A 25,225-nucleotide genomic window follows, 5' to 3' on the forward strand; every position below is an offset into this window, starting at 1 on the left:
TAGTAGAAACGGAGTTTTGCCATGTTGACCAGGCTGGTCTCAAACTCCTGACCTCAGGTGATCTGCCCACCTTGGCCTCCCAAAGTGCTCGGATTACAGGCATGAGCCACTGCACCTGGCCTATTTATTGTTTTTACACAGATAGGGTCTCACTACGTTGGCCAAGGTGGTCTTGAACTCCTGGCCTCAAGCAATTCTCCTACTGTGGCCTCCCAAAATACTGAGATTATAGGCATGGGCCATGACACTTGGCCTTGCAGCAGACTTTCAAATCAGGTAGTGTGATGCCACCAACTTTGTTCTTTTTGCTCAAGACTGCTTTAGCCATTCAGGGCCTTTTGTGACCCTATACACATTTTAGGATTGTTTTTTCTATTACTGTGAAAAGTGTCATTGGAATTTTGATAGGGATTGCTCTGAATCTGTAGATCACTCCGGCAAAGAATCCAAACTGTTGAATTTTCAAGCTACCTAGACCATTTGTTCATTGTTCAGATAGATTTTTTTCTTATTTTTGGTTATCCACAGACTGACCCTCTATTTATTCCAAATATTAAAACTTTGTCATCGAAAACACACACCAGAAGATGACTTACTTTGCCCACATCAAAAGTTAAATGGATTTTGCTGTACATCATAGTGAATAATAACATATTGTATACTTGCAAATTGCTGAAAGTAGATTTTAAGTATTCTCACCCACACGCACAAAAAAGGTATGTAAGGTAATGCATATGTTAAACAGCTTGATCTACCCATTCCACTATATATACATACACACACATATACACACACACATATATATACACACTCACACATATATATGTAAAATAATTCCAAGTGTTTGCTCACTGAAGACTTGACAGTACTTTCAAGCTTATAGTTGTGGGGTTACAATAGGAGACTAACAATTCTCCTCATACCAGTCTCCATTGTTTAAATTATAACTGAAAAATGATTTAGAATAAGATAAACTGTAACTGTGTTGTGACACAGAATATGAGTAAAATGTTAAAAAAATGTAAATATATATATATTTTTTAGTATGTGTGTATATATGTATAGGGTCTCACTATATATATATATACACACACACACTTGGCGCACTGTGTATATATATATATATATATATATACACACTCCCCCCCAAAACATCATGTTGTATACCATAAATATATATAATTTTTACTTGTCAATTAAAAAAATTATTTTACAAGTTAAATGGGTTTTGTAAATGAATTACTATACTATGTCTCTCTATTCCATTCACAAGGAGTTTAAGTCAGACATATTCAAAGTGGAGTCTTGACCACTGTGTCCCCAATACCCAAACAGTACCTACACATAACAGGTGCTAACTAAGTATTTGTTGAATTAGTGGCCTCAGAACAGCTCTCTTAACTTGTGTGTGTGGGAAGAAAATGACAGCAAAATTCCAGTAAAGTTTAATTTAGAAATTGTGGTTTTAGATCTGAAGGACCTTAGGCAATGACCTTATCTCCTCATTTTACAGGTGAAAACTTTAAAACATTTTACTCCTATTTATTCTATGTCACAACACAATCATAGTTGAGCTTATTCTAAATCATTTTTCAATTTTTATTTATTTATTTATTTTTTGAGACAGAGTCTCGCTCTGTCACCCAGGCTGCAGTGCAGTGGCACAATCTCGGCTCACTGCAATCTCTGCCTCTTGGGTTCAAGCGATTCTCCTGCCTCAGCCTCCCAAGTAGCTGGGATTACAGGCACCTGGCACCACACATGCTTTATTTTTGTATTTTTAGTAGAGACAGGGTTTCACCTTGTTGGCCAGGCTGGTCTTCACCTCCTGACCTCAGGTGATCCACCTGCCTCGGCCTTACAGGTGTAAGCCATTGTGCCCAGCCCAACTTGGCTCACCACAACCTCTGCCTCCTGGGTTCATGCGATTCTGCTGCCTCAGCCTCCCAAGTTGCTGGGACTACATGCATGCACCACCACGCCCAGCTAATTTTTGTTTGTTTGTTTGTTTGAGACAGAGTCTCGCTCTGTCGCCAGGCTGGAGTACAGTGACATGATCTCGGCACACTGCAACCTCTGCCTCCCAGGTTCAAGCATTCTCCTGCCTCAGCCTCCCGAGTAGCTGGAACCATAGGCGCGTGCCTCCATGCCCAGCTAATTTTTCTATTTTTTTAGTAGAGACGGGGTTTCACCATGTTGGCCAGGATGGTCTCAATCTCTTGACCTCGTGATCCGCCCGCCACGGCCTCCCAAAGTGCTGAGATTACAGGTGTGAGCCACTGTGCCCGGCCTAATTTTTGTATTTTTTTAGTAGGGATGGTGTTTCACCATGTTGGACAGGCTGGTCTTGAACTCCTGACCTCAAGTGATCCACCCACCTTGGCCTCCCAAAGTGCTGGGATTACGGGCGTGAGCCACGGTGCCCAGATCCATTTTTCAATTATAATTTAAACAATGGAGACAGGTATGAAGAGAACTGATAGTCTTCGAATTGTAACCCCCATTGCTATAGGCTTGAAAGTAGTGTCTTCAGAGAGCAAACACTTGGAGTTATGATGATGAAACACTCTACTGTCAACCAACTGGACATCAGTATCTTTCTCCCATTTTTTTCAAGTGTGTTTTTCCTGGAGAGTATAACCATAGCCTTGGCATAGTATAACAATGGCCTTTTCTCAATCACTTTCCAGTCAATATGTGCCTTCATTCTTTTACTTCCTTTCACGTAATTCCCAGTAGAAGGGGGTGAGAAATCTATTACATAAAACTGAGTTTTTAATAGAAAACTATTTTTATATGTAAAAACAGGAAAGAGGCTGCAACAATTAAAAACACAAATTCTATCACCTGAACTTGCTTCTTCCAATAAAAGATAACCAATAAACCCATCATTTAAGAAAGATTCCTTTCTATGAAACATAATGAATTATACAAAAAGGAACATTAGAAGTCCAACAATATCAGATCAGTCTGTAGTAACAATCCTGGAATGCAATATTTTCATTAGGAAATAAAGATTTTACCTTGCTTGATAGAGGGACTAAATAATGACATAGCATCTTCTTCATGTGATAACACTGTTACACTAGATGTCCCATCTTCTACCTGCAAACAAATATTTCATGTTAGGCTGAAATATATAATTTACCAACAATAAAATCTACCAATTATTGAGGAGCTGTGTGTCAGGCATCCAGCTAAGTGTTTAACATACATTATCACTGATTCTTACAGTAACAAGTAAGTAGTATGCTTATTATTACTTTTTTTTGAGATGGACTCTCGCTCTATCACCAGGCTGTAGTACAGTGGCACGATCTCGGCTCACTTGCACCTCTGCCTCCTAGGTCAAGTGATCTCCTGCCTCAGCTTCCCAAGTAGCTAGGACTACAGACACATGCCACCACGCCCAGCTAATTTTTGTATTTTTAGTAGAGATGTGGTTTCACCACATTGGCCAGGATGGTCTCAATCTCTTGACCTTGTGATCCGCCCACCTCAGCCTCCCAAAGTGCTGGGATTATAAGTATGAGCCACCACGCCTGGCCTGTGGTATGTTTATCTTATAGACAAAAGTAGAGACTCTAATGTGCCCCAGAAAATATGGCTGATAAACAGTGAGAGCTGAAATTTTATCCTAAATCTGTCAAATTCCAAAGTCCATGTTCTTTCTTTCTTTCTTTCTTTTTTTTTTTTTTTTTTTGAGACAGAGTCTCACTCTGTCACCCACGCTAGAGTGCAGTGGCATGATCTTGGCTCACTGCAACCTCCCCCTCCTGGGTTCAAGAGATTCTCCCGCCTCAGCCTCCCAAGCAGCTGAGATTACAGGCATGCACCACCACACCTGGCTAATTTTTGTATTTTTAGCAGAGATGGGGTTTCGCCATGTTGGCCAGGCTGATCTCGCTCTCCTGATCTCAGGTGATCTGCCCGCCTCAGCCTCCCAAAGTGCTGGGATTACAGGCGTGAGACACAGCACCCAGCCGGTTCACGTTCTTTCTATTATACCTGCAGCCTTCCCAACTACCACTACTCTCATACTTCCAAAAAGACAAAATTTCAAGTACCTGGCATATAGTAGGGCTAAGTAAAACTTTGTGAAACTAATTTTGTATTAAACATATTATTGGGGGCCAGGCACGGTGGCTCACGCCTGTAATCCCAGCACTTTGGGAGGCCGAGGCGGGCGGATCACTTGAGGTCAGCAGTTCAAGACCAGCCTGACCAACATGGAGAAATCTCGTCTCTACTGAAAATACACAAAATTAGCCGAGCGTAGTGGCGCATGCCTGTAATCTCAGCTACTAGGGAGGCTGAGGCAGGAGAATCACTTGAATCAGGGAGGCGAAGGTTGCAGTGACCTAAGATCATAACTTTGCACTCCAGCCTGGGCAACAAGAGCGAAACTCCGTCTCAAAACAAACAAACAAACAAAAAAAAAAACTCACACGTATTATTGGATCCTTTTCATAACTTTACAGATTTCAATTTTTTTTTTTTTTAAACGGAGTATTGCTCTGTCACCAGGCAGAAGTTCACTGGCATGATCTCAGCTCACTGCAACTTCTGCCTCCTGGGTTCAAGCGATTCTCCTGTGTCAGCCTCCTGAGTAGCTGGGACTACAGGCGCCCGCCATCGCACCCAGCTAATTTTTGTGATTTTAGTAGAGATGGGGTTTCACCATCTTGGCCAGGCTGCTCTCGAACTCCAGACCTAGTGATCCACCCACCTCAGCCTCCCAAAGTGCTGGGATTACAAGCGTGGGCCACTGTGTCTAGCCTATTTTCATATTTTGTATATAAGACATAATTCCTGTGTAGCAAAGTTATCTTAATCTTAACAAATTCTCATATATTTGATTTTTAAATTTTATTCTAATAACTATATATCTTGCACTTCATTTTTACTTCTAGGTGCACTGTAAGTTCCTGAATCACATATTCAAAAATAGCACATATTTTTTAAACTCAGTGATGTATATTTTATTGTATCTTTGAAAACTGGTAATTCACTTACAACATATTTTAAAATCACTGTCAAAATAGCCTACCTAAATGTCCTGATTTCAATTATGACAAGTTTAATATGCCCTTTATCCAACCCAGAAACTTTTAAACAACAAAATATTTTCATTATCAGAGGTCAGCTATAATTGGTACCATGTGCTTGATTTACCCATTCAAAAAAATACATTTTTCTTTTTTTCTTTTTGAGACGGAGTCTCGCTCTGTCACCCAAGCTGGAGTGCAGTAGCCTGATCTTGGCTCACTGCAACCTCTGCCTCCTGGGTTCAAGGGATTCTCCTGCCTCAGCCTCCCGAATAGCTGGGATTACAAGGCGCACACCACCACACCCAGCTACTTTTTGTATTTTTATTAGAGACAGGGTTTCACCATGTTGGCCAAGCTGGTCTCAAACTCCTGTCCTCAGGTGATCTGCCTGCCTCGGCCTCCCCAAGTGCTGGTATTACAGGCATGAGCCACCGCAGCCGGGCAAAAATAAGTTTTTCTAAATAAATGATTACTCTTTCTATTCTAAGACAAAAGAAGTGAGATAACTGTGGTAGTAAGAGTGTTACTATATGCAGTGCTACAAAATCAACAGTGACCCTTTGGTGTACTGTGATTTCTCTTACCTTGTGTTTTTTTCCAGCTTCTCTCTCACTATTTTGTCTATCTTTTTTATCAGGAAAAAGGAATTCCTCATCTCCTTCAACAAATGCATATGGATCAATTTTAGGTTCTTGTTCTGCATCAGATGCTATTGCTGAAAGACACTGGTTTTTAATTTGATATTGCTGCACTAATTCATCAGAAACTTTTAAAGGTTTCTTACATTGCACCATTAACCTGCATAAAAAAATTAAAAAAAATTAATTATCCACATAAGCATTAAAAATTTCCAAAATGACGTTAAGTATCATAATGTTTTTAGAATTACTTAAAGATTATCTAACCTACAATCCCTTATTTCAGAAATGAGGAGGCATGAAAATATTAAATAATTTATTGAAGTCTAAAATTTAGCCATAGAGAAATGGGGCCAAAATCCAAGTTTCCTAACTATATGATCTTTCTACCAAAATATGTTGTCTTTAGGTAATTCACGGTTTAGGTAACTCACGGTTCTCAAGTCCTCAAGCACACTATTTTGTACAAATCCATTCCCTGAAAGGGGCTCTTAAATCTAAACTGCTCCAGTACAGTGACTCAAAGTGGGAGCTTTATAAAAGTGAGTAAAATACTTTTAAACAATTTATACATTTATACAAGGAAAGTGATTATGTATTTTTTTTTTACTGCCATGAGTAGATATACTTTAAGTTTTAAATTTTTGAAGGCCTGATTTGTGTTTCATGAAAATAGCATTATTACTATTAATTCTGGCAAGATGTTTCACAATGGAAAGTGAAGTTTCAGTGCAAGTATCTGAGTTTTCTAATCACATTGGCACATCAATTTTTAAGTTATTAGTCTTCTGGTTCAACACAGCAACTAAGAAATTGTTTCTCTTTATTCTCCTAAAATAACCAATAAAATGACAGGAGATGACAGAATAAAAGAGAAGACAACAAGGAAGTTGGAAAGATGAGCTAGTGGAAACTGACAGACCACAGAAAGCTGAAATCTAAGGATAAAAGAGGGATGCCACAACAAGAAGCAAGCTGATCTATACCAAAGAACCCTGGAAAGCATCAGGAGTTTTTTCTCTCTGAAGACCCGACTGCTCGGTGAGTGTGAACACAGAATCATTAGCTTCTGGTTTGCATAAGACATGTTTAGACTCTCAAATTCCTATTCTCTCGGGTTTACAAAGCTAAGGTTCTCAGGTTGTCCTAACAGTAGCTAGCAGCCAAGCTTGCAGTCAGATCATGGCCAGAATCTTGCAATGACTATTTCACTCTGAGAAAAAAACCAAAGTCCTTATACCATCCTATGAAAACTTCCCATCATCTTGTTCTTCTCCTCTTCATCTTTTACTATTCTAGTCCTCTCTTATACTGCTTCCAAGGGCTTCCTTTATGTTCCTCAATGGGTTCCAGACCCATTCCTGGCTATTTCTTTTATGGGGAACATTCTCCTTCCAAATATCTGCATGGCCAACTCGCTCACTTCCTTCAAGTCTTTGCTTAAATGTCACCTATGAGCCCATAACTACTTTATTTTAAATAGCAATATGCCCATGCCCACTTGCCTCAATAATAATCCCCCTTACCCTGCTCTATTTTCCTGCATAGCATTTATCTTTTAACATATTACATAATTTATTATATTCATAGTTGACTGTCACTCACACTAGAACATAAAAGCTCCACAAGGACAGGGGTCTAACCTTTGTTCACTAATTTAGCACAGATGCCTAGAGTACCTGGTACATAATAGGTGTCAATACTTGCTAGTGAATAAATGAAATCTAAAAATCACAGACTGAGATGTTTTTGCATTAGTACTACTAAAATACACTATCTTGTACTTTGAAATAAACAATTTTTACACACTAGAAGGTACCAATGCCACTGCTTATCTACTCTGAGTACTAAGACAAAAATTGTAAGATATGTAAGGTCTGGTAGCAATGAAGGTATTTGCAGATCGTACATTCTTTGACTCACAGGCAAATCTTATCTCATTCATCTATTCACTAATGCCTAACACTAGTAGCACTTGATCTCTTACAAACTCGGGGCAAAGTAGGCCATCAAAACAAAAACTGATTTCTAAACATGCTATCAAATGCTCAAATACATATCATTATTATTCCAAATACGCCCCAGATTTATTGCAAAAACTAAAATCCCAAGCATACAAAAACTTTCTGCTGTGGGAATATAATGCTAGCACACTGTCATTGGGGATATGTTTTATAATTAATCATCAGGATAGTTCTGTTCTATAAACAGCTGAGTATCAAGTGTAGTTTTTTACCTCACCACATTAGACTCTAAATAACGGTTAGCTGAATTGTCTACCAAATATTCACTAATGCAAATCTTTTTAAAATAGTAATTCTAACTACTTTGATATGTACTTTTCTTATTTAATACTTAAAATAATATTTTAAGATAAGAAGCAAAGGGTATTATCCCTGACTTTGATGTGGAAATTATGTAAAATCAAGGGCTTTGCTGAGGTCACATAGTGGCAAAGTCAGAAATGAAAAGATTTTAAGTATTTATATTCAAATAACTATCCTTAGGGAATAAAGTATAAGAAATCTCCCTTCCCCCAGCCTGAAAGACACTACTACTCTCTGTAGAGACAAATAAAACTCGGTGTTTCATATTACGTTGTCCTCTGGCAGAAGTATAAAAACCTTCACACTGTTTACATAAGTAGTTGCTAGACTACTGTGCAGTAACATTATTAAAAAAACCAACTCTACTGCACAGGGCTCTATTAAAATAAAAAATGAGTAAACCAAATGCATTACCTAAATATGACTGTTTGTTATTTTATTGAATCATTCTCACAGACATTAGCATGTGCAAAGAATTTAAATGTAGTCAATTTCAAGAGTATCAAGACACAATAAATTTTAAAATATAAATTCATTTACATTATACATTCTATATTTAAAGCTGATAATAGAATTAAAAATTGTTACTTTTAAGAGATGCCAGATAAAAAAACTCTAATTACCATACTGTCAACATCAATTATATAGTACACATACACTTTTAGAATACGAATAACCCTCTCCTTTCCTCAAACGAACTTTCACATACAGCCAAATAATTAACTACAGACACAGTTTCAATTAGACATAAAGCTAAATACAGACAAACTGCAAAAAGATCAGGTACAGCCATGAACAGGAAGTGCTGCAAGGCCCAAAGCATTATATTATTCATTAATTGCAACTCTTTCCTTTTACTATGACAATAACATACTATCCTGAAATGTACTCATATAGAATTTAACATAGCTTATGGTAGCATATGCTGTTATGCCTTTATTCAATAAAAATTCTTCCAGATGAGGTATGACAGTTTTTAAGATGACAATTATAGAAGCAGATAAGCTACAGACGGAAAGTTAAGAAACAAATGAATGCAATAATGTCAAAATCTTCCCACCGCCTTTTTTTTTTTTTTTTTTTTTTTGAGACAAGGTCTTGCTGTCACCCAGGCTGGAATGCAGTGGTGCGGTCTCAGCTCACTACAACCTCCACCTCCAGAGTTCAAAGTATCCTCCCTCTTCGGCCTCCTGAGTAGCTGGGACTACAGGTGTGTACCACCACACTTGGCTAGTTTTTTATTTTTTGTAGAGACAGGATCTCACTATATTGCCCAGGCTGGTCTTGAACTCCTGGGCTCAAGTGATCCTCCCATGTTTGCCTCCCAAAGTGCTGGGATTACAGGTGTGAGCTACTGAGCCCAGCCTAAAATCTCCCACTTTTTAAATGGTACTTTTTTTTTTTTTTTTTTTTTTTTACCGTCTCCTATATTCAGAATCAATCCCTAAACTGAGCCAAGGTCACTGTCAAAGGAAAGCTTTATTTGCATTAAAATAAAACAGCAAATATAGAAGACTTACTTAAAAGATTTAGAGTACAGAAAAATCAAAACAAGTTTATTTCATCACAGACTTCTTTCTGTGAATCAAAGGCATTCAGAACTATGTTTTAGAGATCAAATAATGTATTCTACAACTATATACATACAAATCTGGTATACCACTAACACAACATAGGAGTTAATTCTATTGATGAATATCATGGCTAAGATATCCTGATATACTTTGGCTACAGAATAAAACATGTAAAGAACTATGCTCAAATACAGTTCTTTCTTTGCTCAGGGTTTAGACAGGTTTCCCTCTGAATCAGAATCACAGACTAAACAATCACAAATTCTTCTAAAACTAAGTGCTAAACCCATGAAAAAAAGATATAATGTTTCTTGCCAGAAATTTTGCTATCTTTAAAATCTATATGGTTCTTAGCCTCTATTCTGAAATACATGCTATCATTAACTAATAGATAAACTAAAAAGAATTAGAAAAAAAGATATTTGCCACGTGTATCTTATATATGGGTTATGCTATGTTCCACTCCAACCTCTCCTTCCCCACAAGTAAATTCTAACAAATTAGAGAAATTTTACTTTTACAAACATAGTCAATGAAAAGTTAAACATAAAATTGCTACACATGAAAGTCTAAGAATAAAAAAGGTACTCAGAAATGATAAATTCTATAATGCTATACTAGTTAGGTAGCCATCACCACCTGAAACTGCTAATCAGAAAAATCAAGAGGGCTGGGTGCAGTGGCTCACATCTGTAATCCCAGCGCTTTGGGAGGCCAAGGTAGTAGCATCACCGGAGACCAGGAGTTCAAGACCAGCCTGGACAACATAGCGAGATCCTGTCTAAAATCCTGGCTAAAAAAAAATGTTTTTAATTAGCCAAGCGGTATTGTCACATGTCTGTAGTCTCAGCTTCTTGGGAGGCTAAGGAGGATGGATGGCTTGAGCCCAGGAGTTCAAGGCTGCAGTGAGCCATGATCATGCCACTGCACCATAGCCTGGGTAACAGAGCAAGATCCTCTCTCATAAAAAGAAAAAATAAAAATCAAGAGTATTAATTTCTTTCACTAACCCACTACTATGGAAGGACAGTGCCACCTTTCAATAGCAATCAATGGAAACATTTATTTACACCAAACAGAAAATGGAGTTTCACTTAACACAAATAAAACAAAGCTTTGAATTTCTCCTACCGTAATTTTCTATGAAGTCACATACCTGTAAAAGTTCCACTATTATAAATCCACTAGTTCTCTGTTTCTACTGATGCATTCTTGTCCTTTTGCATTGTATATCTACTCTAACTGGGTTATCAGCAATCCCCTCTATTAAGTTTCAGACATGATCCCAACCGCCTGATGGAATCTCTCAGCAGGCACCTCAAACTGCATTCACATGTTTACGATGTACTCACATTACATGTACATAGCTAAAGTCATGTAGTACAAAAAGATGAAAAGCCTAAGTATCAATCTCTCTCCTTCAAGATAACAAGTACTATTTCTATCATCTAATTAAGGTGGAAAAAAACCTAGGTATATGCCAGCATATATGTATGCACATATGTACTTTGGTTCCTCATCTACATACAGAGCTTCTCATATCAGCCTATACAGATTTCCTTTGCTTATTTAAGTGGATATGCCATTATTATTTAGCCAGACCTTCATTATTTAGCAAGACCTTACTTTCATAAGGTGTATCAATAGTTTTGTTTTTTGTTGTTTTATTTTTTGGAGATGGAGTCTTGCTCTGTTGCTCAGGATGGAGTGCAGTGGCGTGGTCTTGGCTCACTGCAACCTCTGGCTCCCAGGTTTAAGCGATTCTCCTACCTCAGCCTCCTGAATAGCTGGGATTACAGGCGCCTGCCACCACGCCCAGCTAATTTTTTGTATTTTTAGTAGAGACAGGGTTTCACCATGTTGGCCAAGCTGGTCTCAAACTCCTGACCTCGTGATCCACCCACCTCGGCCTCCCAAAGTGCTGGGATTACAGGCGTGAGTCACTGCGCCCAGCCTAGGTATTTCAATAGTTATTCCAAGGTACTTCTACTTAGAAACGCTACTTTAAAAAAATCAGAAAAATTAAGTTTGGTAAGATTTAGCCTAAAGTGGGTAAAAACAATGGTACAGACACCTTCAAACCTATTCTTTCTCATCTTTCTACCTCATGAACTAAATACGCTTGGCCTTAAACTCTCCTGTTATTCTCCTACTTTACTGTTTAACTGGCTGCAAAGTTCTTCAAAATATATTCCACAGCATCTATAACATTCATACATCCCTGCTACTTCTAATTTCCCAGTGTCGGCCTCACATCACTTTCTATATGAGTTGTCCAAACTGATCTCCTTTCACACAGACATATCTTTTCATTTCAAGCAACCTTTCAATAACATTACTTGGTGAGTTTTTCCAAAATCCTTATTTTCTAAAACTTGTCATTTTATCTCACTCAATACTTGCAATAGTCCCTCCATCATCTCAAGGATAATATACAAACTTATGAATACTATTCTGCTATTCCATTCTATAGTCCTACGCTTTTCAGGTCTCATTTCTCATCATGACACACCAAACTACTAAGGAGCACCCCTATAATCTAACCATACCAAACTACATAAAGCTTCTGGAGCTTCATAAATGGAATTAAATTATTCCCCACTCTGTGTCTGTACTATATTTTATTTATACCTCTATCAGATAATATGCTATTTTCCATTAGACTACAATTTCATTTATGGTCAAGAGTAAATTTATTTTATACACTAACAGTGCCCCACAGCATCCTGCGTAAGAGAAACTTCAGTTTTATTGAAACTGATTTTAAAAATACCTTTTAAGAATATGAATTTAAAAAGAAAAATAATACTCCTAAGAAGAGATACAAAATGCAGAGGACTTGCAACAGCCCTGTAATTAACTTTATTAAAATTAACTGCTAAACATTTAAATGCACTTTCAAAACTCAAAGAATGGAAAAATAATAATAGATATTTACAATGACTAGGTGACAGAAATTCACCAATTTACTAATATAAACAAACCAGGCTTCTGAATGAATTACTCTATGACTAAAGAGGTGTTTGATCATATTACATCTTTAAAATTGTAAGTGCTTCCAGAAAGAATTTAAGAGGGTTGTTTAAATGCCATCAAAAGAGGGCTGGGCACGGTGGCTCACTCCTGTAATCCCAGCACTTTGGGAGGCTGAGGTGGGCGGATCACCTGAGGTAGGGAGTTCAAGACCAGCCTGGCCAACATGGCGAAACCCGTCTCTACTGAAAATACAAAAATTTGCCAGGTGTGGTGGCACACGCCTGTAATCCCAGCTACTCGGGAGGCCAAGGCAGGAGAATCACTTGAACCTGGGAGGCGGAGGTTGCAGTGAGCCGAGATTGCGCCACTGCACTCCAGCCCGGGCAACAAAAGCAAAACTCCATCTCAAAAAAAAAAAAAAAAAAAAGCCATCAAAAGAGAATAACAGTAATTCATGGAATTTATTTTAATGACAGGGAACATCATCTAACTTTGTCAATTGGCTGTACCACTTTCTACAAGGAGACAACTATTATTTTGATCCTTGTCACATCATATCTGAAGCAATATTAACAGCAGGTAATAAATTATCCAATTATTCCAACAAAATCCTTTTCACTATAAGAAAAAAAAGCATTTTTGTTTCAGCATATAAAAGACCATGTCAAGTATCTCACTCTAGTTTGGAGTGACTGAAATAGTATGGGGAATCTCCCCAATGAAGTCAATCAGTAAACACGCTGATCTTTCTAATAACTATTACTTTAGAATTCAATTTTCTGTTACAAGTTATTCATTATATTAAAGTACCTTAACACTTCTAACACTTCGAGCTGGATAATTTTTTGTTATGGGAGATTATCCTGTGCACTGTAAGATATTTAGCAGCATCTCTAATTTCTACCTACTAGGTGCCAGTAGCACACCCCAAGGTGATAACCAAAAATGTCTCTACACATTGGCAAATGTTACCTGGGGATGGGGCTGGAGGGATATAAAATTGCCCCAGTTGAGAAATACTACACAGAACAATAATTCCAGGAAAAGGATAGAATCATCCAGATGATTATTTTTAAAAGCAAACTTTTAACCTACCAACTATAGAACAATTTATATTCCATAAATGCTTCTTAGTTAACATAGCAGCTAAGCCTTTGATGGTTCACCTTCTGGATATTTACCTTATCATCTAATCTATTATCATACTACAAAAACAAGGCTTATATCTAAAAGCAAATTGTGGCCAGGTGCAGTGCCTCACACCTGTAATCCCAGCACTTTGTGAGGCTGAGGCAGGTGGATCACCTGAGGTCAGGAGTTCGAGACCAGCCTGACCAACATGGTGACACCTCGTCTCTACTAAATACAAAAAATTAGTCAGGCGTGATGGTGCATGCCTGTAATCCCAGCTACTTGGGAGGGTGAGGCAGGAGAATTGCTTGAAGCCAGGAGGCAGAGGTTGCAGTGAGCCAAGATTGTGCCATTGCACTCCAGCCTGAGCAACAACAGCAAAACTCAAAAAAAAAAAAAAAAAAAAAAGCAAAAAGTGAACTGTGACATGATACACATTTCAGTAACTAGTATAACCAAAACAATATTCACATAAGACATATGATTAAAATTAAAACTCTTTTATTCAATCTTTTTTTTCCCTTGTCTATAAGGCAGAAAAAAAGGGTGACAAGGAATAGGCAAAGCATGTTATTTCCTTAACTTACATAATTACAATCCAGTACCACTCTACCCTGCACGCTACTTTTCTACACTATGCTTCCTCCTTCTCATTCTTATTCAGTGAGAAAAATGTCAAATAATTTTAGAACAGATTTTAAGGTTAAACTGTATTAACTTCTAAGAGACCTTCATTTTACTTACAGATAGTCATGTACACAAGCAACCAATACATTTATTTAAAGTTATGGCTAGAATTAACAGCTCTTATGAATACAATGTGCCCACAAAAACTCACTATTGAAGGTTTTAAAACCAAAAAACTTCATACCACCACATTTTTACACACATTAAATAAGAAAATATAACCTGGAAAGAAAACAAGTTTTAAAATAGTATTTTAGGGCCATTTCATTCACCCAAACATTTGCTGAATTTCTATTGTGTATCCAGAATTGTTCTAAGGGGGTGTGTGTGTTTATGCTAGAAGAATACAGCAGTAAACAAGACAAGAGTCCTTGCCCTCATAGAGCTTACATTCTAATAGGGAAAAGACCATTAGCAAATACATAATATAATTTCAGATATATGCTAAGAAGAAATTAAAAGCAGCATACAGGATAGGCAGTGATTTGGGAGAGAAAGACCATAGTTTAGATAAAATGGTGAGGAAAATCTTCCCTGAGAAGATAACTTTTGAGCAGCACTGAATGATAAGAAGGGATAAGCAGTTCACCCTCTTTATAATCCAATTCTAAAAGGCCATGAGGAATGAGCTTGGCTTTTTGAATAATTTATCAAGGATGCTGGTGTAGCTAAATCAGGAGACAAGTAGGATACCAGTAGGTAACATGGGTGAAGAACTAGGGAGGCAAGAGACTGCATACAATCTTACAGATCAGGAGAAAGGGTCTGGATTTTACTCTAAGTGTAAAGGGAAACTATGGGAGAGATTTAAGCAAATAAGTAAGACAATATTTTACTTGCAATGATTACCCTCACTGCTGTGTAGAGAATACATGTAGAATAGAAACAAGGAGACTAGTAATCTCAGGCCAAGAGCTGAGGCTGGCTTAGACTTATACTACATTTAGCAAGAGTAAGATTAAGATCTTTTAAGGCTTGTTTCTAAGACATCATTTACTTTTTTTTTTTTTTTTTTTTGAGACGGAGTCTCGCTCTGTCGCCCAGGCTGGAGTGCAGTGGAGTGATCTCTGCTCACTGTTAACTTCCGCCTCCTTGTTCAAACGATTCTCCTTAGCCTCCAAGTATCTGGGATTACAGGCGCACGCCACCACACCCAGCTAATTTTTGTATTTTTAGTAGAGACAGGGTTTCACCATGTTGGCCAGGCTGGTCTGGAACTCCTGACTTCAGGTGATCCACCCGCGTGGCCTCCCAAAGTGCTGGGATTACAGGCGTGACCCACCACGCCCAGCCCTAAGATATCATTTACTTTCAAGAGACCTGCTGACTATTAAATAAGCTCACTGTCTTCCACAATCCCTAAGAGTATACTGATATCTCTTAATTAACAATCCAGATTAATTTTAATTAAAAATAAAATCATAGATGGGCAGAGTGGCTCGTGTCTGTAATCCCAGCACTTGGGGAGGCTGACACAGACTGATCACTTGAGATCAGGAGTTCAAGACCAGCCTCGCCAACATGGTGAAACCTGATCTCTACTAAAAATACAAAAATTATCTGATCGTGGTGGTGCACGCCTGTAATCCCAGCTATTCTGGAGGTTGAGGCACAAGAATCGCGTGAACCTGGGAGGTGGAAGTTGCAGTGAGCCGAGACTGCGCCAATGCGCTCCAGCCTGAATGACACAGTAAGACTCTGTCTCAAAATAAATAAAATAAAATAAAACAAAATAAAATCATACTAAAATACTTTTAGATTCAAAGGGCCAGATGAAGCACAGGACTTATCTGCTAAAATGACGATAAAAGCATTTTAATTTACTATTATTTTTTAAGAGACAGGGTCTCACTGCTGCCCAGGCTGGAGTACAGTGGCTATTCACAGGTGCAATCCCACCACTATCAGCATAGGAGTTTTGACCTGCCCATTTCCATCCTAGGCTGGTTCACCAGTCGTCAGGCAACCTGGAGGTCACCATACTGATGCTGAACTTGATGCAGACACTTAATCGGCATAGTGCACAGCAGCCCGGAACTCCTGGGATCAAGCAATCCTCCTGACACAACCAGAGCACTCGGCTAGGTATTTTAACAGAGAATAAATCTCTAACAGTAGGAAAAATGAGAGAGAGGCTATAAATGGACCAGATGTTTCACTAAGTCTCAGGGAAGCTCAAAATAAGATAAAATACAGCAGAAAAAGTTCACAGCCTACAATATGCAAAAGAAGGGATTATAGCCCAACTACATAAACAACAGGAGAGTCTAACTGCCTGGAAAAGTGAGAAAAAATCCGGACAGAAATGAGAAGAAGGGGTTACTTTGGTCACACTGCCTATGGGTGTAGCCCTGCTCTGCAAGGAGCAGTAAAAAAAAAAAAAAGGGGGGGGGGAGGGAAAAAGAAAAAGGAGAAGGGGAGACAGGAAGGAGAAGAAAAACAAAAGTGAGAAAAAGAGCTGAAAATGGGACAACAAGAAAGATTCCTTTTTAAGGAAAATGAATAAACTACCTGTCAAAATAAGTATAACATCCTTTTCATTCTGGAATTTTAGGAATGGTTGCCTTCCCTTCCAAAAATTCCCCATCCAGTTATCATAAAGCGAATTATCTGACACCTATACACATTACATACTAAAGTATTTATTGAATGAGCAAGGACCACCAGTCAACAAGCTCTACCTATATACAACATTTCCAATCAGTCTATCTATTCTCTCACATTAAAATACGTCTAGACAGGCCAGGTGTGGTGGCTCATGCCTGTCTGTAATCCCAGCACTTTGGGAGGCCGAGGCCAGTGGATCACTTGAGGTAAGGAGTTCGAGACCAGCCTGACCAACATGGTGAAACCCCGTCTCTATTAAAAATACAAAAATTAGCCGGGCATGGTGGCACGCACTTATAGTCCCAGCTACTTGGGAGGCTGAGGCAGGAGAAACGCTTGAACCCGGGAGGTGGAGGTTGCAGTGAGCTCAGATCACACCATTGCACTCCAGCTTAGGAGACAGAATGAGACTCCATCTCAAAAAAATAAAATTAAAATAATAGTAACAATCAAGTCGGGCGTGGTGGCTCATGCCTGTAATCCCAGCACTTTGGGAGGTCAAGGCAGGCAGATCACGAGGTCAGGAGATCAAGACCATCCTGGCTAACAAGGTGAAACCCCGTCTCTGCTAAAAATACAAAAAATCAGACAGGCGTGGTGGCACGTGCCTATAGTCCCAGTTCCTCTGGAGGCTGAGGCAGAAGGGCTGCTTGGACCTGGGAGGCGGAGGTTGCAGTGAGCCGAGATAGCGCCACTGCACTCCAGCCTGGACAAGAGAGCAAGACTCCATCTCAAAAACAAAAAAACAAAAAACAACCAGAAATACGACAAGAAGAATCCGAGTAAAGAACAAGACCAAAATAAAGTAATTCTAGAGAAAAATAAAATCACAGAACATCAAACAACGGAATGTTATTTTTAAAAAAAATCAGTTGAGAATGTTTTTAAAACATGAGAAAGAAAAATTCAGAATTCAAGAAAGTTGAGAATCCCCTGAGAAAACAGAGCACCATCTGAATCATGGAAGTTTTAAAAAGAATTTTTTAGGAGATGGTATTACCTAAGAAATAGAGAATTTCCAAATGGCAGAACAAAGGCCTTCAAACTGAGTTAGACCTTGGCCGGGCGTGGTGGTTCACGCCTGTAATCCCAGCACTTTAGGAGGCCGAGGCGGGCGGATCACGAGGTCGGGAGATCCAGACCATCCTGGCTAACACGGTGAAACCCCGTCTCTACTAAAAATACAAAAAATTAGCCGGGCATGGTGGCAGGCGCCTGTAGCCCCAGCTACTTGGGAGGCTGAGGCAGGAAAATGGCGTGAACCCGGGAGGCGGAACTTGCAGTGAGCCAAGATCGCGCCACTTCACTCCAGCCTGGGCGAGAGAACGAGACTACGTCTCAAAAAATAAAAAACATAAAAAATTAGCAGAGTGTGCTGGTGCGCACCTATAGTCCCAGCTACTCGGGAGGCTGAGACAGGAAAATGGCCTGAACCCGGAAGGCAGAGCTTCCAGTGAGCCGAGATCACGCCACTGCACTCCAGCCTGGAGGAAAGAGCGAGACTGTCTCAAAAAAAAAAAAAAAAAAAAGCTGTGCGCAGTGGCTCACGCCTGTAATCCCAGCACTTTGGGAGGCCGGGGCGGGCGGATCATGAGGTCAGGAGATCGAGACCATCCTGGCTAACACGGTGAAACCCCCGTCTCTACTAAAAAATATAAAAAATTAGCCAGGAGTGGTGGTGGGCGCCTGTAGTCCCAGCTACTCAGGAGGCTGAGGCAGGAGAATGGTGTGAACCAGGAGGCGGAGCTTGCAGTGAGCAGGGATCGCGCAACTGTACTCCAGCCTGGGCCACAGAGCGAGGCTCTGTCTCAAAAAAAAAAAAAAAAAAAAAAAAAATTGAGTTAGCCTTTCAAGTGCCCAGCACAAGGACTGGAAAAAAGATCATTATACCTGCTACACAGATTCTTGTGACATTTCTAAAGCTAAGAGAAGACCTTAAAAGCCTCACAGAAGAGATCGCGTTTTTTTAAATGAGCAAGAATGAAACTCATTATTACACATTTCTTCTGAAGATACCAGAAGACAGTAAAGCAATGCCTATGAGTTCAAGGGGGAAATTATTTTCAATTATGAAACCAACATGTAGCCAAATTATCAATCCAAGCATGAGGGCAAAAAAATCAGGTCATTTTCAGAAATACAAAGGATGCCAAATTTATCTCCCACTCTTCCCCCCGCCGCCCCCTCCCCCCGAGGGAGCTAAAGATATTCACCAAGAAAATAAAGGCAAAACCAAAAAGAAGCCACTAGTTATAAAAAATTGTGGTATTAACTTGAGTCTAATCAAAATGAAATCCTAGAGAGCTGAAAACAAGTCTAGAAAGCAACTGGTTCACATTATAACAGAAATAAGAAAGTATTAAACTCCATATAATAGTTACATTATCTGGAGCAATCTGATGTTGAGAAAAAAAGCTACATTAAAAAATAAACATAAATCGATAATGAAAATGTGACATTTTAAGCAAATAAAGTCTAAGACATTATTTAACCTATTAGTAGCATTTAAGCAATAAGCAAGTAATTCACTAAAAAAAAGGTAATTCACTGACAATGATCTGATAAGGAAGGAATCGTAATCTTTGTACATTCCTTGGCCTTGTACTAATAAATAGGTAGACAGTTCTATTGAGCATAATGGTATTTTACTGGTTGATTTTCACCTTTTAGAAAAATTTATATGTAAAAGGCTTATTAGACAGACTATAAATGTATTAATAACAACATAGAAAGTCAAGGGATACCTGGAAAAAAGCCTTCTTCTGCCCAAAGTATAACATTAATACAGTGGACAAAGAAGGCAAACCACCAATGGAGGAAGAAACCTATAGCACATAAAACTAATGCAGGATTAATACCCAGAGCATGCAAATAATACATCAGAAAAAAAAGAAAAATGGACTAAAAAATACGATGACTAGGCAAGTCACAGAACAGGAAACCTAAATACACCCAAAACATTTTAAATGATGCTCAATCTCACTAGAAATCTGGAAGACACATATTTAGACAATGAGATGACATTTTGCATGCTGTAAATTACTGAAATTAAATCTTGTAAGACCAACTATAGAGGAAAATATAGTGCAACAGCCATTCTCATACACTGCTGGTTCATGAGGGTTTAAACTATATACCAGTTGCTGAACTGCAACTGGGCAACAACCCTTAATGTTGAAAATGGACATAGCCATGTTGAAAATGGCTTTTAGATGTATTTCCTAAAAAAATTCTTATACAAGTAAACAAGGAAATGTGTACCAAACAAAATGGAAAATGTTAGGGTGAAAAACTGAAAATAACCAACATATCCATCTTTAAGAGTTTAGGTATTTACTATATATTCATAAGGAAATACCATAAAGCAATTAAAATGAATAACTAGAGCTACACGTATAAAAACATGTACTGAAATAATAAGTACCAAATTGAGGCCAGGTGCGGTGGCTCATGCCTGTAATCCCAACACTTCAGGAGGCCGAGGTGGGTGGATCACTTGAGGTCAGGAGTTCGAGACCAGCCTAGCCAGCATGGTGAAACCCCATCTCTACTAAAAATACAAAAATTAGCTGGGTGTGGTGGCTCACACCTGTAATCCCAGCTACTCGGGAGGCTGAGGCAGGAGGGTCGCTTGAACCCAGAGGCGGAAATTTCAGTGGGCCTAGATCGTGCCTCTACACTCTAGCCTGGGTGACAGAGACTCTGTCTCAAAAAAAAAAAAAAGGTACCAAATTCAGGACAGTGGAAGGAAGACTGGAAGAAGAAAAACAGTACATGGGAATTCTAACTGTATGTAAAATCCTTAAGTTGGCTGATGTACAAGTGTTTACACATTATTTTCTCCACTTTTTGTGGCTAAAGTTATTTCATAATGAAGAAGTTCCCTGAGGAAAAAACACAGTAAAGGAATAATGCAAAGTTAATACTCAATGAATTTATTCTTGTAAATCCTACCTTGAATCCAATACTGAGTCCTAGTATTAAGAACTTGCATCACTTCCACCCTTAAATTATAATGGTGACTATTAAAAAAAATACATACTCTGTAACTGATGTTACACTTTCCTGTCCAAAAGGTCCAACTGGATCATCCTTGAATTTATCACTTGGAAGTTGAGGTGGTAAAAACTCTACATCTTTTTTCTTTGGGAACTTGTAATACTTCCAGGCTATATTGGCTTCATCTTCTTCCAAGTTTACTGCTGTACCAACATATACTGTAGGTTCTACAGCTTCCTGATATTGAGGTGGGAAAGACTGGGACAAACTGTCTATCCTATCTTCCATTGGTTTAGAAGGAACCAAGGGATCTGGTGTTGGCATTTGATAAAAATGTTGACTCTGAGGAGTTGAAGGTGTTTTAGTCACTCCTTCATCAACCACATCACAAGGGTGAGGACTAAGTGGGGGTGGTTGAGGTGAATTTGCCATTTCGGTGCCATGCATCTGAGGAGTCTTTGCTACATCATTAGTTCGGATATTTGAAAATCTCACTTGACTGTCTGGAGCAGAGATCACAAGTCTTTGGCTGGCTGAATCTGCGTCCATGCCAACATCATCACTAACAGACACACGATGGTGAAAAGGAGTCAAGGGGCGTTTCTGTGGCTTTTCACTCTTTTCTTGCTTCTCATTGGTCTTGTGCTTAGGAAGTATTTGTTGTTGCTGACCTAAAGATGGTGCCTGTCCTTGTTGTCCAGCATTTCTTGACTTGAGATTTTTGTGCCTGAAAAGTGAAAATAAAGGTTTCATATTTACAGTATCACTATTATGGCGAAGTATAATACCAGTTAATAGTATTAGACACTTCGGTTATCATTTCTTTTTCACATGTAATACTAAAAGTAAAATAATTTGAATTTGAAAGGGGAAAAAAATACTTTGCTCGTGACCTAAATAAAATATAAGGGCATGCAGAAACATTCATAAAAGCCAATTATCTCATGCTCATTTAATAGCCATGTGATCAGACAGCCAAAGATTATGTCTTACATGATTTAAATATTTTAGTATCTAATTTAAATATAGAGGTAAGATTCTAGTTAAGGTTAAAAGGTATAACAAGGCTTGAAATTTACTCATTTTTAAATGTACCTGATATTTCCTGTTAGTAATTATTATAAATTAATGGCTTGGCTAAGCTTAGTCATCACCTACAATCCTACAGCAACTGGCCAGAAAGCGTATTCTACTCTACTAAATAGAAGTTACATCAGTCTGGAAAGTGCTAGAATTGACTGATTGATGGGCCTCACACCATACCTACCTTCTCCAAATACTTAGCACTACAAAAAGAATAAACTGACTAGAAAAGGGAAAGAAAATGCCTAAAATAATTTCTTCCTCATAATTTGAAGCAATTCTAAAACGAAGAACTTAAATGATACACCTAAAAATCAAACAATTTTGTTAAGTTTAAGATTTCTAGGCTGGGCATGGTGGCTGACACCTGCAATCCCAGCACTTTGGGAGGATGAGGTGGGCGGATCACCTGAGGTGAGGAGTTCGAGACCAGCTTGGCCAACATGGTAAAACCCCGTCCTTACAAAAAATAAAAAATTAGCCAGGTGTGGTGGCACGCGCCTGTAGTCCCACCTACTCGAGAGGCTGAGGCAGGAGAATAGCTTGAACCCAGGAGGCAGAGGTTGCAGTGAGCCGAGATCACGCCACTGCACTCCAGCCTGGGTGACAGAGCAAGACTCCATCTCAAAAAAAACAAAAACAAAAACAAACAAAAAAAAGATTTCTTTCAGTGCGCACTGAGATTTCCACTCAATGAGAGATATATATACACATAACATTATTTTTACACTAAGAAACTTTTTTTTTTTTTTTTTTTGAGAGGGAGTTTCGCTCTTGTTGCCCAGGCTGGAGTGCAATGGCATGATCTCAGCTCACCGCAACCTCCACCTCCGGGGTTCAAGCGATTCTCCTGCCTCAGCCTCCCTAGCAGATGGGACTACAGGCATGTGGCCACCATGCCCGGCTAATTTTGCATTTTTAGTAGAGACGGGGTTTTTCCATGTTGGTCAGGCTGGTCCTGAACTCCCGACCTCAGGAGATCTGCCCACCTCGGCCTCCCAAAGTGCTGGGATTACAGGCATGAGCCACCGTGCCTGGCCAAGAAACTTTTAAAATGTGGTAAGATATGGAGTTTACACATTCAGTATTCATTAGGTTTTACTTTTTAAATTTTACTTTTTTGCTGAATCAGAGCTATCCAGAAAGAGTATTAAAAAGCAGTGACAGGCACTTATTTGAAAAACTCTGTTGAGAAGACATACTGAGACACTTTTTTTTTTTTGAGACCGAGTCTCACTCTGTTGCCAGGCTGTAGTGCAGTGGTGCAATCTTGGCTCACGGCAACCTCCGCCTCCCAGGTTCAAGCAGTTTTCCTGCCTCAGCCTCCCAAGTAGCTGGAACTACAGGCGTGCACCACCACACCTAGCTAATTTTTGTATTTTTAGTAGAGACGGGGTTTCACCATGTTGGCCAGGATAGTCTCGATCTCTTGACCTCGTGATCCGCCCACCTTGGCCTCCCAAAGTGCTGGGATTACAGGCGTGAGCCACTGCGCCCGGCCGAGACACCTTTTTGTACAGAGCCTGAGATATCTTATTGTGCATAGAGAAAAAAAAGAACCAAAGTTATCAAAAAAAACCAAACTCGTTTCAAAAGGACATAGGAGAAATCCACCATTATCCTAATATTAAAATCAAAGATATTACACAAAAAGAAAACCATAGACCATTATCTCTTAAGAACACAGATGTAAATAATTAACAAAATATCAGCAACTCAAACCAGCAAAATATAAAAGAATAACACATCATGACCAAATGAAGTTAATTCTGGGAATGTATGGTGTAGCATTCAAAAGAAAAAAATATCATGCATCACATTAACAGAATAAAAGAAAACCATATTATCTCAATAACTATAGAAAAAACCCTATTAATACTATTAATATATTCAACCCCTATTTATATACACTCGGCAAGCAAGGAATAAAAGAAAATTTGCTTGATCTGATGGATATCTATGAAAAACTACAACTAATATCTTACTTGATGTTTAAGCATGAATAATTTCTCAAGATTAAGAACAAAGCAAGAATATTAGCTCTCAACATTTAACATTTTACTGAACGTTTTACCCAATGCAATAAGGCAAGAAAGAGGTCAGAGATTTCGGAGGAAGAAGATAAATTGTCTTTATTCATTGTCAACATTATTACAAACTATACAATAAGGCCAGATGCAGTGGCTCACACCTGTAATCCCAGCACTTTGGGAGGCCGAGGTAGGTGGATCATGAAGTCAGGAGTTCAAGACCAGCCTGGCCAACATGGTGAAACCCCGTCTCCACTAAAAACACAAAAATTAGCTGGGCGTGGTGGTGGGCACCTGTAATCCCAGCTACTCAGGAGGCTGAGGCAGAAGAATCGCTTCAACCCAGGAGGTGGAGGTTGCAGCAAGCTGAGATCACACCACTGCACTCCAGCCTGGGCGACATAGCGAGACTCTGTCCCACCCCCCACCAAAAACACAAACAAACAAAAAAAGTATACAATGAAAGGGTCAGGCTGATCCCCACCTAATCAATCTTAACATTACTAGATATGGGACAACCAGATACTGTCTCTCTCTGACGTAACATAATACAAAGCAACACAGCCACCATCTATGAAGTACTCTTGCCAAAAATATTGAAGTTGAGTCTAATCAAGTAATCAAGCCCCCAGATCAGCACTGAGCACTGTCTAGAACTTTCTATGATGATGGGAAGTTCTGTATATGTTTTTATATATATATATATATATATTTTGAGACACAGTTTCACTCTGTCACCCAGGCTGGAGTGCAGTGGCACGATCTCAGCTCACCACAACCTCTGGCTCCTGCGTTCAAGCGATTCTCCCACCTCAGCCTCCCAAGTAGCTGGGATTACAGGTGCCCGCCACCACACTGGGCTGATTTTTGTATTTTCAGTAGAGGTGGGGTTTCACCATGTTGGTCAGGCTGGTCTTGAACTCTTGACCTCAAAAGATCTACCCACCTCGGCCTCCCAAAATGCTGGGATTACAGGCATTAGCCACTGCACCCAGCCTGTATATGGCTCTTGAGTACTTGAATTGTGGCTAGTCCAATTGAGGAACTAATTTTTTAAGAGACAAGTCTTGCTCTGTCTCTTAAAAGGCTGGAATGCAGTACAATCATAGCACACTGTAACCT

General features: G+C 39.1%; 1 protein-coding gene and 1 pseudogene across 4 annotated transcripts in view; both read right to left on the reverse strand.

Annotated features, from left to right (window-relative positions):
- Window positions 1-25,225, reverse strand: part of MED13 (mediator complex subunit 13) — a 122,674-nt gene that overhangs the window by 46,912 nt on the left and 50,537 nt on the right. For all 4 annotated transcript variants that reach the window (XM_011525551.3, NM_005121.3, XM_011525553.4 and 1 more), the window contains 3 exons: window positions 21,034-21,717; window positions 5,636-5,849; window positions 3,024-3,105 (listed from right to left, as the gene is read on the reverse strand). In XM_011525551.3, the coding sequence (XP_011523853.1) occupies window positions 3,024-3,105; window positions 5,636-5,849; window positions 21,034-21,717 (980 nt within the window). The remainder of the gene's footprint in view (window positions 1-3,023; window positions 3,106-5,635; window positions 5,850-21,033; window positions 21,718-25,225) is intronic.
- RN7SL800P (RNA, 7SL, cytoplasmic 800, pseudogene) lies at window positions 16,221-16,500 on the reverse strand (annotated as a pseudogene).

This window comes from Homo sapiens, chromosome 17, assembly GCF_000001405.40.
Source record: "Homo sapiens chromosome 17, GRCh38.p14 Primary Assembly".
Lineage (NCBI taxonomy): Eukaryota > Metazoa > Chordata > Mammalia > Primates > Hominidae > Homo > Homo sapiens.